We start from the raw sequence: 18,433 nt of genomic DNA on the forward strand, positions 1-18,433 counted from the left end.
GCCTTGACTATATTGGACTTGGGATCTCGGAAATCTTGGGGATAAGCAGTGGATTAAATCCATAAATTAGTAAAGTGTTGATTATACAACAGGTAGAACTACGTGCCACTTTTGGAGGGACAGTCTTCTTTTTTAAAAAAAACAAAAGGCCTTAAAGGCTTTATGTATATATAAAGCCTTTTTTAATTATAATAAATACATTTTTTTAATGAAACAATCTGCACATATACAATTCCACTCTCAAGAAAGGCAATTATTTACATAATTATGCAGAAATTCCTATAATTATGAAAATAATTGCCTTTCTTCAGAGTGGAGTTGTATATGTGCAGATTGTTTCATTTTAAGAAAAGAAATATTTACTGATTTGATTAACTGAAGTTCTGGACGCTTAAAAAATGATTAAAATACACAGATCTACTATCTGTCTTCATGAACTTTAAATGTCTTGTAAGAAATTCAAGTAATAAAGACTACAACATTTATTATTTAACTGGAACATGTATTATTTATTATCCTAACTGAGGTTAGGAAGCACCATTATTTATTATATCTATATTAATCAAGTTGTATCCTGTAACAGGTTTCCTGTTATCCACTCATGTCTTCTAACTTCTGAAGTATTGTTTAAATTACAAGGGAGAAACCTAGACACTACATTTTCTAGGATCTCAGGACAATAGAGCTCCAGGTAAAATTATGCTAAATAAGGGCATGAGTGTTAGATGTGGATGTCACAGTGAAGAGATTTAGAGCATTTTTCTGGTGACCTCCTGTTTAGGTTTGACAAGCATCTAAAATCATTGTTAGCAACTTTCCCATAATTATTGCATTTTCAGCCTTTATGAAAATAGCAGCATTTTTTTTCCTTTCTTTGCCCATGCACACCATCTAATCATGAGATAAGTCTCCTTCTGAGTCCCTAAATACATGACATACATAGATTGGGATCTTTTTCTGACCTGTTCCTGTCTGATACATTCTTCAACTCTAAGATGAGTTCATACTCATCTTCTGAAGCCCCTGGGAAATGGAAATATTTTTTCATATTGGATGTTGGTAGAGACCCATCATTTAATGAACATTTATGTGCCAGGATTTGTGCAAGACACTTAGATACATTATTCATGTACCTCACACAAATGTATCAACAACACAACAAAATGTCTGTATGAAATAATAATTATTATATCCCTTATATGGAAACAGATCCAGAGAGGAAGATACACTAGCATGTGTAAATAGAGGATTCAAGAATTAAACATCCATCTGTCCAACTGACTACAACCTCTTTCATAAAATGCTAATTTCTCTCCTGCTTCTAATTTTCTTATCAAACATTGTCATCTATTGTTATTGGGTCTATGGGTGGGTAGTGACTCCTTGGTTTCCATTTTGTTCTAGCGGATTACTGTCTTCTTTATTTTTGTTCTAGTGTTTATTGAGAGTCCTAATTAATTAACCTGGCTGCTCTGACTTCCATCAGCTCACCATTGTCTCTTCTCCCAGCTCATAATTTCTGTAACAGAGCTCTAGGCTATGCTAAAGTTCTGCTATATGTTGCCAGTCTCTCTAGATCCAAGTGCCTCTTGTCGGCCAAGTTTACATGCACGTGTTTAAAATCTTCTTATTGACTCTATATACAAAGTCTTCACATGCCTTCCTCCTTAAAATAATAGCGTTGTGAGAAGAAAAAAAAATCATCATTCTTTTTAAAACTAATTCAGGATGTCTATGTTATACAACAACAAGACGTGGGGGAATATTTACCTGGTAGTTCTGTCCCTCATTATCATTCTCACTCATTATAAAATTGGTATCTGAAAAAAATCTTGCTGCAAAAACAAAAAAAATGTATAGGTTATAAAGAAAAAGTTTGCTTCACATCATAACCATTACCCATCCCATTGCCAAAGGGAAGATTGTACACTACATGATTCTGGGAAGCAGCATTCACATAGACTATAGTGTGCATGGTACATGCAAGAGACCCCATAGTACTACCCGCTTTGTCCTCCTTGTAGACATGCTCACAGATGATCCATGCTCCCTGACCTGCAGTAGTCAAATAAAAGAGTAGCATCAATTTATTAACATTCTTTCCAGACCATTTTCTAGGTATCCTCATTATATATTCCTTCAAATGGAAGGATTTTATTCTGTACATCACATCTCACTGTACACATTTTTTTCTGAAATCTGAAATCTGAGTATTTTAATTTTATACAGTTTCAATTGTGAGAAGTACCTGACAGACTGACCTGACCTAACACTCTCTAAGCTAAAACACTCATAAACTAGCATAGAAGCTTTACACATTTATCCATTTCTCTAATTTACTTACCTATTGTTTCCTGAAACATCTATTAATCTTGCAGTTATTTGAGATGACTGTGAGCTTACTATTTGCCAGGGATGGCATGAGCACCTTGGTTTAGTCTAGTGCCTGGCATTTATTTTCCTAAACTGTGGCAGCAAGTTTAGCTGTAAGCATATTTTTTATCAGAACAATCATCCATCTTTAACTACATGTGAGGAAAGTACTTTCTTATATTGCATTACACATTTTTATATGGCCACAGAAATCCTTACTTAGTCTGACAAAATTACGGTAGATTTCTTTCTCGCAAGGTCAAGGAAAGAATCATTCTGTACTGTTTCCATGGAGATGTTTCTCCTTTTCTCAATTGCCAATTGTCTACTGTGTGTACTGGGTTCCTTCTTTTCATATGTCATGAGGATTCTCACCCCAGCATTCTGCTCCTCTGAGTCAAAGCCCTTGACTTTCACTTCTCAATTGTTTTGTTTGTAGTTTTTTTGCTTTCCTTTATTTTTCTTACTCTATAAATGCTATGAAAGTGTATGTAAAAATTTACCCATCTTTTAGTTTATATTTGTTATCACCCTTTATTCATATACCAAACCATATAGGAAATGAATATAAGGAGATCTTTCTTAGTAGGAGGTAGAAGTAAAATTTTGTTTAGAATAAAAACAGAAAAAAAGAGAATAAAATTCCATATCACCAGTTTGCTTCTAAATGCCCAATGTTTCCACTTATGAGCTTGCTACTGTACACAACGCAAGGGCTTGTAAAAAATTGTCTAAATGATAGTGGTTAAGGACGTACTTTAGGCTAGGTTACTTTAAAAAAATATATCATCACTTCTGCCATCAAAAGTGAATTTGATGTATCATAATTGTTAAAGTTGAGGAGGGTCAAGGATTCTTCTCATTCTATGGTTTCCTTATAAATACACTTTCTAATAAATGCCTAATTTTTTTCTGTGAAATTAAACCATTAGATATTGCTGAATGTCTGTATGTTTCTTATTTTTCTAGAATCTCATTCTTAATTATAGTTTTATATTTTTCCTTCAACAAAGTCTTAAAACCCATGCAGCTGGTGTCTATTATTTACATTCTGTGATGTATTTTATTTGACTTTGTGTTTTTAGTCTTTTCACAGAAATCCTTTTATTGTGATCTTCTTGTCCAAAAGCACTTATTTCATATCTCTTTTCCATACCTATCTTCATTAGCAGGTTGCATTTCAGTTTCTTCAGTCCTTTTTTAGATAATATATTTTACTACATCTGCCTTCACAACACTGTATATGCTCTGATGATCAGGTCTCCCTTCTTTTTTTTTTTTTTAAATTCTCGTCCTCTTTGGGACCCGTGACAAAGTAAAAGGCAGATTTTTTTCTCACCTGACTTAAAAGTAAAAAGGTGGCCGGGCGCAGTGGCTGATGCCTGTGATTCCAGCACTTTGGGAGGCTGAGAAGGGCGGATCGCGAGGTCAGGAGATCGAGACCATCCTGGCTAACATGGTGAAACCCGGTCTCTACTAAAAATACAAAAAAAAAAAATTAGCCGGGCATGGTGGCAGGCGCCTGTAGTCCCAGCTACTCGGGAGGCTGAGGCAGGAGAATGGCGTGAACCCAGGAGGCAGAGCTTGCAGTGAGCCGAGATCGCGCCACTGCCACTCCAGCCTGGGAGACAGAGTGAGACTCCATCTCAAAAAAAAAAAAAAAAAAAAAAGAAGTAAAAAGGCTTCATATGTTTCTCCTCTGATTCTTCTTAGGCCCAGCATTTCCAAAAACAAAATAGTACACAAAACATTAGTTGTAATGATACTTCAAAAGGTTCAAATACTAGTTTTTGGCTGCTTTCTGTCTATATTTTTCTTCTAGAGAAATTTTGTTATGAAGTATTGAACTATTCAGTATACTTTAATATTTTCCAAATAAAGTTTCCAAACTGATATTTAACAATATTCTCTTATATTCAAACATATTCTGAACTATTTTCTGCTGTGTCTCTAGATCAATATTTATAAATCTAGATTGTTCATGTATTTTTTTTCCTTTGCTAACTTTCAAGATCATATCAAAAAGCACCACTGTTGATTCCATTTTTTATGTTTCATTATTTGAAACTATATTGACATTTTTCCTCTTCTTTATCATTCCCTGTTATCTCATCTTTGTGAGTCTTCCAATTAATGTTTTTTCCTTTGAATTATTTATTTTTTAACTGAAAATAAATTGTATATATTTAAGGTGTACCACATGATGTCTTAAAGTATACATACATTGTGGAATGGCTAAATCAAGCTAAACATACGCATTATATGCATTACCTTGTAATCGGACCCCTTGAGGTGTCAATACCTCAGCATTTTTAGTGATTGAGATAACAAAAATTCGAATTAGGCCCTTGCTTGCTTGCATAAAAGCCAACATCCCTTGTTCTCACAATACAATTGCAAACTGCTGATTTACTATTTCTTTGTCAACCAGGAGAAGATAACTTTAAGGTAACAAAAAAACATTTGCAGAAGGAATGAATGCCTATAAGGATGTTGCAACTAACTGCTGAGGCCCAGAAGTCTGGTTGCTCAGGATATTATCAGAGATTAAAGAAACACAGACTTTCCCCTTGGTTCCCTAAAACTCCCCCTCTCTTACTGTCTAGCTGCAAAAATATCCTCTCTGCATTTTTTTTTTTTTTTTTTTTTTTTTTTGAGACGGAGTCTCGCTCTGTGGCCCAGGCTGCAGTGCAGTGGCGCGATCTCGGCTCACTGCAACCTCCGCCTCCCAGGTTCACGCCATTCTCCTGCCTCAGCCTCCCTAGTAGCTGGGACTACAGGCGCCCGCCACCATGCCTGGCTAATTTTTTGTATTTTTAGTAGAGACGGGGTTTCACCGTGTTAGCCGGGATGGTCTCCATCTCCTGACCTCGTAATCCGCCCGCCTCGGTCTCCCAAAGTGCTGGGATTACAGGCGTGAGCCACCGCACCCGGCCCCCTCTGCTTCGTCTTATTGTTAAGACATGTCTGAGAGATCTTGCCCCGTTCTCACTTTGGCCAAATGGAATAAACTTTTATCTATCCCCAAGCATTGGTGTGTCAGTGTTTGGTTTCAACTGAGCATCAGGTACATGAGCCCGAATTTGGGCCTCTACAACATCTTCACCTACTTACTATATTTTGTGTGTGTGGTGAGAATACTTAAAATCTACTCTATTGGCAATTTTCAAATATAAATGTATTGTTATTCGCCGTAGCCACCATGATGTGCAATCAATTTTTTGAACTTACTCCTCCTGGCTAACTGGAATTGTGTGTCTTTTGACCGACATCTCTGCAATTTCCCCATGCCCTAGCTTCTGATGACTACCAATTAACTGTCTGTTTCTATGAGTTTTACTTATCTAAACTCTCTATATAAGTGAGATTATGTCATAGTTGTTTTTAAGTGCCTGGCTTATTTCACTTGACGTAAAGTCTCCCAGGTTCATCCGTGTTGTTGCAGAAGATTTCTTCCCTTTTTAAAGCCCATTAACCTTTTATAGATCTGGTACTGAGGCAATGCAAACTTATTGGACAATTATATGTTATTTGAATAAATTGAAACATAACAGCTTATAAAGGGTCAAATGGCAGTTAATAGCCTAAGAAATAGGTTTGGAATATTATTTCTTAGCATAAAGGATAATATTGGTCAGAGTCTTCTAGGCTTGAATTCTTGGCTACTTAGATTTTATCAAGTAAATTGTAAAAGGATAGTCAATCACTTTTTTCACATGAATTGCTGTATGAATTTTGATTTGACAAGAAAGACTGTGAAAACAAAACCACTATTATCTGTGAACTACCTAATGTGGAAAGAAATATCCTTAAATAAAACTTTGAGAAAGTAGATTACTCAATTTTTTCCGACAGATATCCCATATATTGTAACTAATTATAATATTTAATTGAATACAAAATCTTTCTTCTTAAGGAAAGATTTTATTCAGTTTTAGAACGTTAAAGTTTCTCCACTCTAATATATACAGAACTTCTTTAACCTTTAAAAATATTGCTTCACTTATTACTCATGATAATTGGGCCACATACATAATTAAAACACACCATTTATTATTTACCCTTGTAAAAGTGGCATCTGGTTCCCCAACTTAGCTTCAAACTGTAATTTTAAACAAATAATAAAGTGTTTTGAAACATTAATGTGGTTAATTGTCTTATCTATTGTCTATGTTCATCAGGAGCTGTGACATGCGCAAAGGAAGGTAATCAGAGGAAGGAAGAGAAGAAGCTAAGTTCTAGAGAATCCATTAATCATGGTTTAGATGACTGACCATTTTATTATTTTCCATTTTCCATTTAAAAACGTTCCATTTTTAAATTGGAAGGGGGTATGTTTTAGAATAGAATAACGAAATTCCCTCCATCTCCTCGTAGTGTACGTGATTAAGAAGAACCTAACAGAAACATAAGGTTCTAAGGTTCTTGCTGGAAATAATAATCAGAACTGTAAGAATTCTCTTATAGAAAACATTTAAAAAAGGAAATTCTAGCAATAGAATTCATTGTTAAAACTGTAAGTCACAACAATATTGTCTCTGCATGCTGACTGTACTCCTCTGTAATCTTCAAAGGCAAACAGGAACAGTAATAATCTTTTCATGTACTCTTAACTTCCTTCTCTGAAAGGCTAGAAAATGTCTTATATGTAGCACTCATACTGTCATTTAATCAAACCCAGTTTCTATTTTTCTTCAATTTCTAGGGGAATGGCTACTTAGTCTTTCTGGCATAATGTGAATTTCTTAAGTGTCTGTAGACTACATCTCCTATTTTTACTTCTTGAAGTTTCTCTCAAACTGTGATAAAGAGTGTCACTCTATCGGTACTGTTAACAATGTAAATTTTGTTTCTCTTTTTGTTACTGCCAAGATTCCACTGACTGTTGAAATATAAAAGAAAAACAGCATTAAATCAGGTGTGATAAAATCACCTTTTTCTGTTTATCTCCACCACTGGCATTTATTGGCACTTGGAAACTATTTATAAACTCATACTCTTGTAACAGTCTTGTAACTGAAACCCACTGGATTCAAAATCTATTCCTAGTACTTAACTTTCTTCTGAAAATTCCCTCATCTATAAATTTGAGGATGATGATAATTGCAAAGATGCCAGGGAAATTTATAATCATTATTGAACTAATCCTTTTGAAAATATAAAGCAGCATTAAATGTTACGATTACTAATCTTTTTAATTAAAGTGGCAAATGTGTCCAAAAATCTGTAACTAAGTTCATTACTCTCATTTATGCAGCTAAACTTAAGTTCTACCAAATGTATTTTTAAGTTGATTAAAAATATGGTTGGCAGCATTTATAAATACCCATTATTAACATGCTATACTGGTAAATATATTTCTGCTCTTATGACTAGAGAGTGTTGTACTTTAGTAAAAAACTTATACCTCAATAATTATCTGCTCTCCTATTTTTATTTTATTTGCAATAGATATGTATTTATTCATGCATTTGTATTCTTATTGAATGAAGGATGTTATGTCACTTGCATTGAGTACATAGGCATCCCTTTCGACAAATAAAATCAGAATCTAAACTACAGAACCAGGTTCAAGTGGGGACAGAAGTACAATTTTAATAAAGGTCAAAGTTTTGCTAGTGTTTCACTTAAAATTTATTTTTAGGCTTTCTGAATGTTCTCTTAAAGAAAAAGACTTAATCATATACGTACCTTTTTTGTATTGTTAACAAGGAAGAAACATACTAATATGAATGGTACTACATACATTATACATGTTATACAAGAGAAGAAAATTATATATTCAAGATAAACATTTTTATAATCACAATACTTCAACATAAATGTGTTCAATATAGTAAAGATGCAGGTTGTATAATTTGTCAAGCAAATTCTCAATTATGTTTGAATTCTATTTAAAATCAACATTAGTATTGACAATATTCATATTTAAGGCTTTTTAATTATTTAAATAGGTTCAAGTTTGCTGTGTTCAGCATTATTAGTTGTAAAAGTAGGCTCTGGTACCGAAAATATATATTTTTAGCTCCCTTCTGTCAGTCTTTCCATTAAATGCTATAGGCTCACAGTTTTACATGCCTCTCAGCACCTCACTGCTCTTGTTGCCTATAATATTTTATTAGTTTAATCCTTCTGAAATAATCCTGGTCATTCAAAACCAATACATCAAAATCTTCTAGAGTGAACAAAAGAAAAAACATTTGTGAAGATTAAAAGAAAAAGGAGACTTCTCAGATATATTAACTTTAAAGACTATATCTCACAATTATGTAATATATTTGTTGCTTTATCTAATTAGATTTGCATTTCTTATATATACCATGCATATAAAAATATATTTGATACAAATTATAATACAAGGCATACAAAAATAGACCATTATAATAACAGAACATTTTCTAAAGGGATTTTAAAACTGTAAGCCAAATGCCTTAATCTAATACTACTTCTAAAATGTATTCTAAAGAAATAATCTTGCATGTGTGGTTAGACTTAATTACAGAAATATTCATTGTAACCTTTCTTTAGAAGTGAATATTGAAAACTGAAATAAATCTAAATGTCCAACTTTATAATTGCTAGTTATGGAATACTAACAAATGAAATCCATGCTTTTAAAATAGCATTTAGTGAAGCAAATATATGTTCAAAATACATATAAAGGAAAAACTGGTATGTTATTAAAGAAGATAGAATAAAATTTATTTTGAGAGTGTATGCTAATAAGACAGTTTTGATATTTAGGAAAATTAAAATGTTAGGTAATATTTTAAATAAAAAAATAAATTTTCTGTTTGCTGAGATTATACGTATTTTAAACAATTTTTAATGTACGCTATAGACACTGAACATGTATAATTTATGTATCAAGAAAAAAATCAATAAGTTCAATTTTTAAAATCAAAATTAAAAGTCACATAATAGATCAGAGAAGATAAAGATGAATTACACTTTTTTCTTTATCTAACAAAAGAGAGTGCATGGTTTATGGAGACAGACAATTTTTTTCTCTGGTTTTAACTCTAAGATATAAAAGGAATCTATTGTATACATCTGGAAATAAGAGGTATTTAATACCTAATGTATATTAAGATTACTGTTTTAGCTTTTTTTTTACAATATAGAAGTACTGTGTGATGACTTACCTTATCAACCATTGAAAGAGCCATTTTCAAAGATTGATTAAAATCGAAGAGTTCCATAAGCAATTTTCACTAAAGCATTGAAAACTATTATCCAAGATTAAGAAAATACTTTTCTAGGGATCCCTCATATCTAGGGATCTAATGACCATTAGATCCACCTTGTATAATGGAATTAGGACAACCCAAAGATCTGGATGATTGAATTGTCATTTGGGGATTATTACCATCATACAGCTCAGTTTATGGCAATTTCTATACATGTGTTTAGTATTAATTGAAGGAAACTCATAGGAATTAGATGCCAGACATGAAGACTATATACATATCTTCAGAGCGCTTGTGTCCTAAACTGAAAAGTGTGTTTTAAGAGTCTGGGATATGAAACCACCTTTTCTCTATTCTTGTCAAATCCATGTCATTCTAGCTACTGACATAATTTATGCAATATAAATACAAATAATAATAAGCAAAGTTATATGAAAATATGTTTCCAGTATATAGGTAGTTTTAACCATTCTTTTTAGAAGAAATGTGTGTGTGTGTAAATGTCTTAATTGTTAAAATGATTAAGTCATTCACAGGTTTGTTAAAGTTTTTCCATGTAGCTGGAGTGATAATAATTTGTATTACATTTTAGAGTGGTTTGATGCAAATAAATAAGAACCAACTCAAAATGTTATTGAGGTTAAACTCCAAGAAGACAAAAGGAAAACTAAAATAACAAATTAAACTATAATTAAAACATTTCAACTAAGAAAAAAGTAAAAAGTTAAGCTATCTCAGACAATGTTCGAGATTGAAGCTTGTTAATTGCAATGGAAAAACTGCTAATTACCACAAATAGTAATTTAGAGGCATAAATATTACACAGGTGTGGCTGCAGGAAGTTGATATTAATCAAACACATTTGGCATTTTCAATGTTGCAAAAATTACAATTGTAAACACCTTCCATACAATCAAATGTTATGTGAATTTTAAATGAGTCTCAATAAATTATACTGCATAAAAACAGGATTTTTACTATGGATCATAATTGTTAATGTCTTCCGTACTCAAGGTTGAAATATAAATCAATTCACTCTATTATTTGGTTTGGAAGTTTAAGAGGACAATTCACATTTCCTTTGATACACTCTACCAGTGTCACTGGACTGGTGATGTGACAAGAAAGGTCTTCTGTAGAATTGAATTGCAATAATATGGAGATTATAACAAAATTATATATGTACCTAAGAATATTGACTTTAAAAGCCTTCTTCAGATTGCAACATTGATTTCCAGATCTGTTGGGAACTAGCTGCCTTACTTAATGTAACAGTCTTGGCAATGGAATAATCATATATATCACCTATGGATAATTAATTTTTAATCATTGAAATTCACTGAAATATGTTGAACATGAAAATCATACAAATATAATTTTGTATGCTGTTTCAGATTCTTTGGAATTTTATTCTAAGCATCAATCAAGATGGTATAGTACGAGAAAGGTAGAACATGTAATTATAAATTCAGGATTCAGGAAGTTTATTTTTCTCTTCTTTTTAATTCTCTCAAAATGATCTTGATTCCTGCAAAGTGTTAGTATATCTGGTAAGTAAGAGTCTATTTCTTTTAAACTTCATCTGTATTAACCAGCTTTATATGACCAAAATGTCCCCCAAATTTAAATCTTTGCACAGTAAGGCCTTATATGTACACCTGGCCTCATTTCAAAAGACTAAAGCAGTTGTTCTCAAATTCAGCTGCACATTAATATAAACTGGAAAACTGTTTAAGCTCCTGATGACAAAGCCACATGTGAGACTAATTTATGCTGAATCACTGGGCCAAGGACCCAGGTATCAGCATTTTTTAAAACTATAGAGGAATAACCAGGGTTGAGAACCACTGCACAAAATGGTAAATGCAACTTTTATTTAAGTTATTTTTTTTAAATAAATAATGGTTGAATTGATACTGATCTTAGTACCAAGTCATGGCAATTTTTTCAGACTTAGAGAATTCATCCTGGCATTGAGATTATTAAAGAACCTAGAAATCCAAGTGTTTTTGTTTATATTTTTCCTGTAAATATTAGAGTATGCTAGTGCTCATCCTTATTTGATAATTTTGGAAAATATATTAAACATTTGAGATTGAATATCAAAAATCTCTAAAAGAATTTTAGAAATACCATTCTTCTATGAAATAAGTAAGCTCAATCAAGATACATATTATAGTGCCCATTTAAGAAAGTCTAATAATAATGCTTGCACTGCTTAAAGATTAGGTTGATAAATTAATTATTGTTAATCCTACTTGCATAATCAACGGACACCTAGGGATGGAGTCTTAAGTATAGACACAGAAGTTGAATACTTTTAAGAACTTTTAAATTTACATCCGGGTTAAATTTTACTTTAAAATTATGTTGAGTGGTTGTGATTAGTACATGTGTGATTAGAACCGTCTTTCTCAGGTTATTATATCACCATATAGACACAGGAAAAATAATAGAATTAAAAATAAAGCAAGAAAAATAATGTGACACTTTATTGGCTTCAGATAATTATTTTGAGATCCTAATCCTACCAAAACATTCTGCTTTTCTTAACTTGATCCTACTTTTGTTTGTTTGTTTTAATAAAGGATGAACCAATATCCTGAGAAATTTTCAAATAGGGCTGGTTATAACACTAAGAACCTAGATCTCACTATGTTTTAGAAAAATTGTAAAGTATTTCAAATAATCAGTAAAGTTTCAGCTCTGCACCATTGTGTCTTTGCAATATGGGGAAAGTCACTTCACTTCTCTCCCTCTCTCGTTTTTGGCACATGTAAGGCAGAGAAAATAATATCTACTCCAGCTATCCCACATGTTATTATAAAATATAATAAGAGATAGAAAATCACTTTATAATGTTCAAAGTATTATAAAAGTAAGCCATGATTATATGTGGGATTAACAGCAGTTTGTTATTTACCATTTAATGTATTTCTAATGTACATTTTTGCCATATTTAAAAATGTTTACATTTCGATTTTTAAGTGAAAGAGTAACGGTATGACATTATGCCATGTTATATCTGATGCCATTATGTCAAACAAACAAACAAAAGCATTTTAAACTATTTGGAATCTTACCAAAATAAATCTTATAACTATGATAATACAGGTTTTTGAGGATTTAGTTTGTACGCAAAAACAGAGGCAATAAAGGCAAAAATAGATAAACAGGATTACTTAGAATTATAAACCTTGTGCAGAGCAAAGGAAACAGGAGGGTGGAGGGTGGAGAGGCAACCTACAAACTGGGAGAAAATATTTGCAAACCTTATATCTCAATGTACTAGTGACTATCACCCTAATAACTAGTCATGGGAGCACTGTCATGCATTTGGTATGTTTTTGTTTTCGGGATGCTGCCACTTACCACGGCGGGAGCCTGATCCCTGCGGAATCGACTGTAGCTGGACTTATCTTGAATATTCTGAGCCAACATACCAAACCATAAGGTGCTAATTCATTCATGCTTGAAGGCCATAATAATCAATACACATTCACGCACACATGTACGTTCACGCACACGTACGTTCTCACACACCCGTACGTTCACACACACACGTACGTTCACGCAGTATTTAAAGGAGTGCTTCCGATTAAATCCGCAGATCTGCCCTCCCCCCATCTCTGAGTTTATTGTTAAATTAGGTAAGCCAGCCCCCAAAAACAAGATACTTAAATTGAACCTAGTCAGAGCCCTAAAAATCATAATTTAACCATGAACACTCCAACCCTAGCCCCTCGATTAACGTAATTTTCTAAAAAATCCTAACATTCTCCAACCAAATAAAATCTCCTATTTCGATGCTAACTAAATCTCTGTCCTAATACTTATATAATACTTCAGGTATCCCGCTCTGAAAAGCTTGTATCCCAGATATTATAGTCCTAAATCAAATATAACTTCAACTACAAATGGCCCCTCAGCGAAAACCTCTGCTAGTTCAACTTTTTTAAAGGCCCTAAACTTCCAGGACTGTAAAGGACCACTTTAGATTTATACCTAACAAGATCCTACCCCCTGACATCCCCCTAGTATTTCAAAATACCACTCAAATGTTTTTCACCCAGTTAATGTAGCTTAATTATTTAAAGCAAGGCACTGAAAATGCCTAGATGGGTCCGCACAACCCGGTAAACATAGAAGTTTGGTCCTGGCCTGTTTTTTGAATTCTTAGTAAAAAATTACACATGCAAGCATCCCCGCCCCAGTGAGAATGCCCTCCAGATCACCTGGATCGAAGGGAGCAGGTATCAAGCACGCATAAACGCAGCTCAAAACACTTTGCTCAACCACACCCCCATGGGAAAAAGCAGTGATAAATTTTAAGTAATAAGTGAAAGTATGACTAAACTATACTAATATTTATGGTTGGTAAATTTTGTGCCAGCCACAGCGGCCATACGATAAACCCAAGCTAATAAAACTCGGCATAAAGAGTGTTTAAGGTCTACATTCAGTAAAGCTAAGCTCCATCTAAGTGGTAAAAAACTCCAGCTGAAATAAAACGATTACGCTCCTTGAGGATAAGATGCATATTGTAACAATTTTCTATATCCTCCACAATGTTTTGCAGATTCAATAACTATTTAATGAATTGAGTTAAATTTGCCTATACTCTTACGCTCATAAATAACCTTCTAATTCTCAATTCCTCTAAAACATAGAAAAAATTGCCAATATAAAAAAGCAAGAAAGAAGATATTAACCATTTTGTCATTCAAAATATGACTCATTCTTATACAACTACCTTTGTCAGCATTCTTGCCATTGGACTATCTAGACTTTGACGCTGGTATATCATGGCTTGTTGTTAGAGAAGGTAAAGTTTGGAAAACAGAAGCAGTTATGTAAAGCAATCTTAGAAAATCCTTGAGTTTCCCTTAGAATTTTGTGTCTTCTACATGTTTTCTGTTTCACATAGATTCAGTTTGCAGAGTTATGTCATAATTTCATGAGCGTATCTGTCAGAGAGCCCTTTGAAGGCCTATTTAATCCAACTAAGACCATTTTTTATTGTTTTAATACCATTGAACTTGTTCTGATAATTGAGGAAAAAGAGAAAGACATTCCATATAATACACCAGATGCCTAAGTGCTTTGGATAGTCATAAGCCTTTTCTCCTATAGCTTCCTATTTAGAAATGCCTGCTCTTCAGAGTTTTCTTAAGCTTTCCAACTTGCTCCTTCCATTTTATAAGAATAATAGTCTATTTAGGAAGACTATTATCAAATAAAAATCAGAATGATCAGTGGACACCTATTTTAGCCTTGGGATTTATATCACAATTCCCTAAGACTTTATATTTCCAGAAAAGAAATTCAAACTAAAGGTCACAATTACTATTATTATAGTAATACTGATAAGATGTGCATTTTAACTAAAAGAAGTTCCCACTATTTTTTTTTCTTTCTACTTTTCAATAATCCTTGGGACCTTAGTAGGAGTGTGCAGTAGTCTTGTGGTGTATTTTTAGTTTAAAAGTCTGAGCATACCTAATTACCACTTGGTAGATATTGTTCAAACTCACTTTTGAATCCAAGTGTTTTTACCCTCATAGAATTTTTTTTAAAACGAGTATTTGCTTGTTTCTATTATACTGTAACTATTGGAGCTACTAGGAGGCCTTTTAAATTTCACCAACAAGTAGGCAGAATGGAGACTAACTGAAGGGTTGATGGGCTTAAAGAAAATAAATAACCTAACAAAACCACCAGGCTAATGGCAAAACCAACATTAGGAACCAAGTCACTTTACTTGGGATTAGTGGATACCAAAATGTGCTTTCTCGGAAGCAGCACTTTACAAGGAAATACGGAAATCCACCTTTGTTGTCCTTCAGCTAAAGGGAATAAAATCATGTACTTTCTATAATTTTAACCCTGTTATAACAGATGCTACATGAACTCAAGTGGAACTCTGACTGCCTTGAGAGCTGAATAAAATGCATCCCACCATCCGTTGCAGCCGCATCAAGGTATTAAAAAGAGAGACAGAAGGAAGAGGTGAGAGAGGCACAAGTTCAACAGTGTGAGGCAGTCAGACACAATGGGAGGGAGAAAGAAATAAATGTCTGAATGTCATTGAAAGAAGAGACAATGAAGGCATATGTAAGAGTCCTGCTAAAGCTATGGAACCTCAGGAGCCTATTTGTAAGAACTACAATTTAGAATAGGGAACTTGCAATACAATGCCTGACCTTTATTTCCTTTCCTGCCTCGAACTTGTGAAAACCTTTGATTGACTTTTCTATGAACATGAATTACTGTTACAATATTTAGTTGAACAATATGAATTTCTCAAAGCAGTAATACAGCGCTACAGCATAGCTTAACATTGTTTAAGTAATATGGTTTGCTTATATTTAAGTCATTTCTAAGGGACCCATGCAAACACAGTCAGGAGATCTATTTCTGATGTATTTCCAAGGCTAGAAACAAAAAAATGCTGTTAATGCATAAACAGTCAAAAAACCATGCACTGTGGTTTTACAGGGACCTCTATTTCTAAAGATGATTGTTGCATGAGGGTCTCTGCCTTTATGAAGGGAAATGTGTAGATTTTAACTAGATCTGTTTGTGTTTTGAAAAAGAAAATCATGTTTCTGCACTAAAAAATAAATTCCTAATCAAACCTTTAAAGTTAACATTTAGAACAGGGACAGAAACTTCTGTTGTTTCCTAAGTGTTTTGCTGTTGTTCCTGTTTAGTTTTAAATCATTTTTTAGAAGTTTTATTGAGGTATAAAAAAATTGTACACCTTTCATATATTCACCTGGATGAGTTTGGACCAATATCATCATCACAACCAAGGTACTGAACATACTTATTCACCTCCAAAAATTTTCTTGTGTTCTTTTTTAATGGTGGTAGTATATTTTTAAGAATTCAGCCTTTGAGCAGGGTACGAAGGACCTTCAACAACAAATGCAAAAGTAAATGAGCTAAGTTCATATAAAGGGTTAGCTCTCAGTGAGATATTCAAGTTATGATCATATCCTCAAGAGGCTTGTAAACTGACTGTGGGTTTCCAGTTTGGTTATTCACAGATAGGCCTTCATTTGCTCATTCACCTATTCATTCATATAGCCACTCATTCATTCTCAAGAAGAGGTATTTGTCCATATCTCACCATGTGGATGAGCAGATGGTCAGTTCTCACTTCTTTTGCCATTAAGTGTGCTCACCGTTGAGCTCCAGGATGATATTTTCTCTCACTTTGCGTCATTACCAAAGTGGCTATCAAGATTCCCTCCCCTACCTTCTTTTTCTTTTTTCAATGTTTAAGAGCTGGAGTTAATTTCTTGACTCCTTTGGTAACACATGCCGATATATACCACTCAAGGCCTGTTGGATTAAACTGTTAAATTTGTCATCTAGCTAATGTTTTCTCAGAACCAGACAAATTAAACAGAGTCAATTGTTGAAATTATTTCAAAAGATAAACAATCATAGAATGGAAATAAACTACAGAAAGTAGGGAACAGGAGTAACTAAGTCTCCTAGAAAACATTTGCAGCAGATGTTAAGTATCCAGTCTCGTTGTTATAAATGAATTTCAAAGAATCTCATGAGGAGCAGCTTTACAAAATTTTACTGCACTAACAAATGGCAGCCAATCTCTGTAGTAAACACAAAATACTGTAACATCCTTTGTATCTCCTTAAATTAAGCCAATTTCTGCTTACACAGAAAATCTGTCTGTGGAAAACACTGCTTAGAATTTGAAAGCACATTAATCTGGAAGCCACAACAGAAGTGTGCTTCAGAAAACTTCTTAATATTTTTCTTGTGAGTTATTCTCTTTACGCTTTTCACATTACAATATTACCAAGTTATCATAATGTATTTTCTGCACTCCCAGAGCAAGATAAGACTCTAGTAGTTGCTGGGAACTATGCATTGTCTAAATATGGGTTCACATTCTCTCACAGTGATTCTGGAATCATACACACAAATGAGATCACTGCTGTCAGATCACTGGGATTAAGACTCAACCTCTCTACTCACTGGCCATGTAAATATAGATACAGTACTCAGATCCTCTGAGGCTTAGCTAATTATCAGTTGATTTGGTCTACACTTACCACATTAATTATTTGAAAGGATTCGTTGATATAACATGTGCTGACAACCATAATCATTATTAAGGCAATGTTTACCAATATGTGACTTTAAAACAGATACTACTATTAGATAACAATTCACACTATACATTCAATATTTAAACAACAGAATTATAATTTTGTGAAGCAAATTTTGTACTCAAACAGAAAATCCAATTCTATAATTATTTTCTGCAATATTGGGTCATAGAACCAACAAAGAATATATGACTGGCTTAGACGTATGTAATTACTTATGCAATTAGTAATAAAATTCTTCACTCATTCCTAGATTTGAATCCCTGATGCTCTGCGTAGCAGCTGTATAGTCTTGGACAAGTTGCTTAATCTGTCTGTACCTCGATTTCCTCATTTGTACTTCAATTTTCTTATGTGGTAAATATAAAATTACTTAACTCAGAGCTATGAGGTCAGTTTTATTTGAGAGAATCCAGAATAAAATACTTAGCACACATTTCCTACCATTCAGCATGCATAATACGTACTCAAGGAAATTTTAGATCTCTGTACATGATTAATATATTAAATCCTCAAACCGACTATAATGTCTGAAAATGCATGTCTTTATGTCACTGTACCTCTCACTGCACTTGGCACAGTGTTGTGAATATATTTGTCATTTGTATGTTCTTTCTACCATACAATTCTGCCACTCCAATTAGCATATTGTGTTGGAAAACAATTGGGTGCTTGCCTTATGTTTTACTAAATTTATACGGAACTACGTTGACACTTCCTTGC

At 33.4% G+C, this 18,433-nt stretch overlaps 1 protein-coding gene across 1 annotated transcript in view; it reads right to left on the reverse strand.

The window, feature by feature from the left end:
• ANXA8 (annexin A8) overlaps positions 1 to 18,433 on the reverse strand; it is a 523,804-nt gene that overhangs the window by 152,229 nt on the left and 353,142 nt on the right. The window lies entirely within an intron of this gene.

This window comes from Homo sapiens, chromosome 10, assembly GCF_000001405.40.
Source record: "Homo sapiens chromosome 10, GRCh38.p14 Primary Assembly".
NCBI lineage: Eukaryota > Metazoa > Chordata > Mammalia > Primates > Hominidae > Homo > Homo sapiens.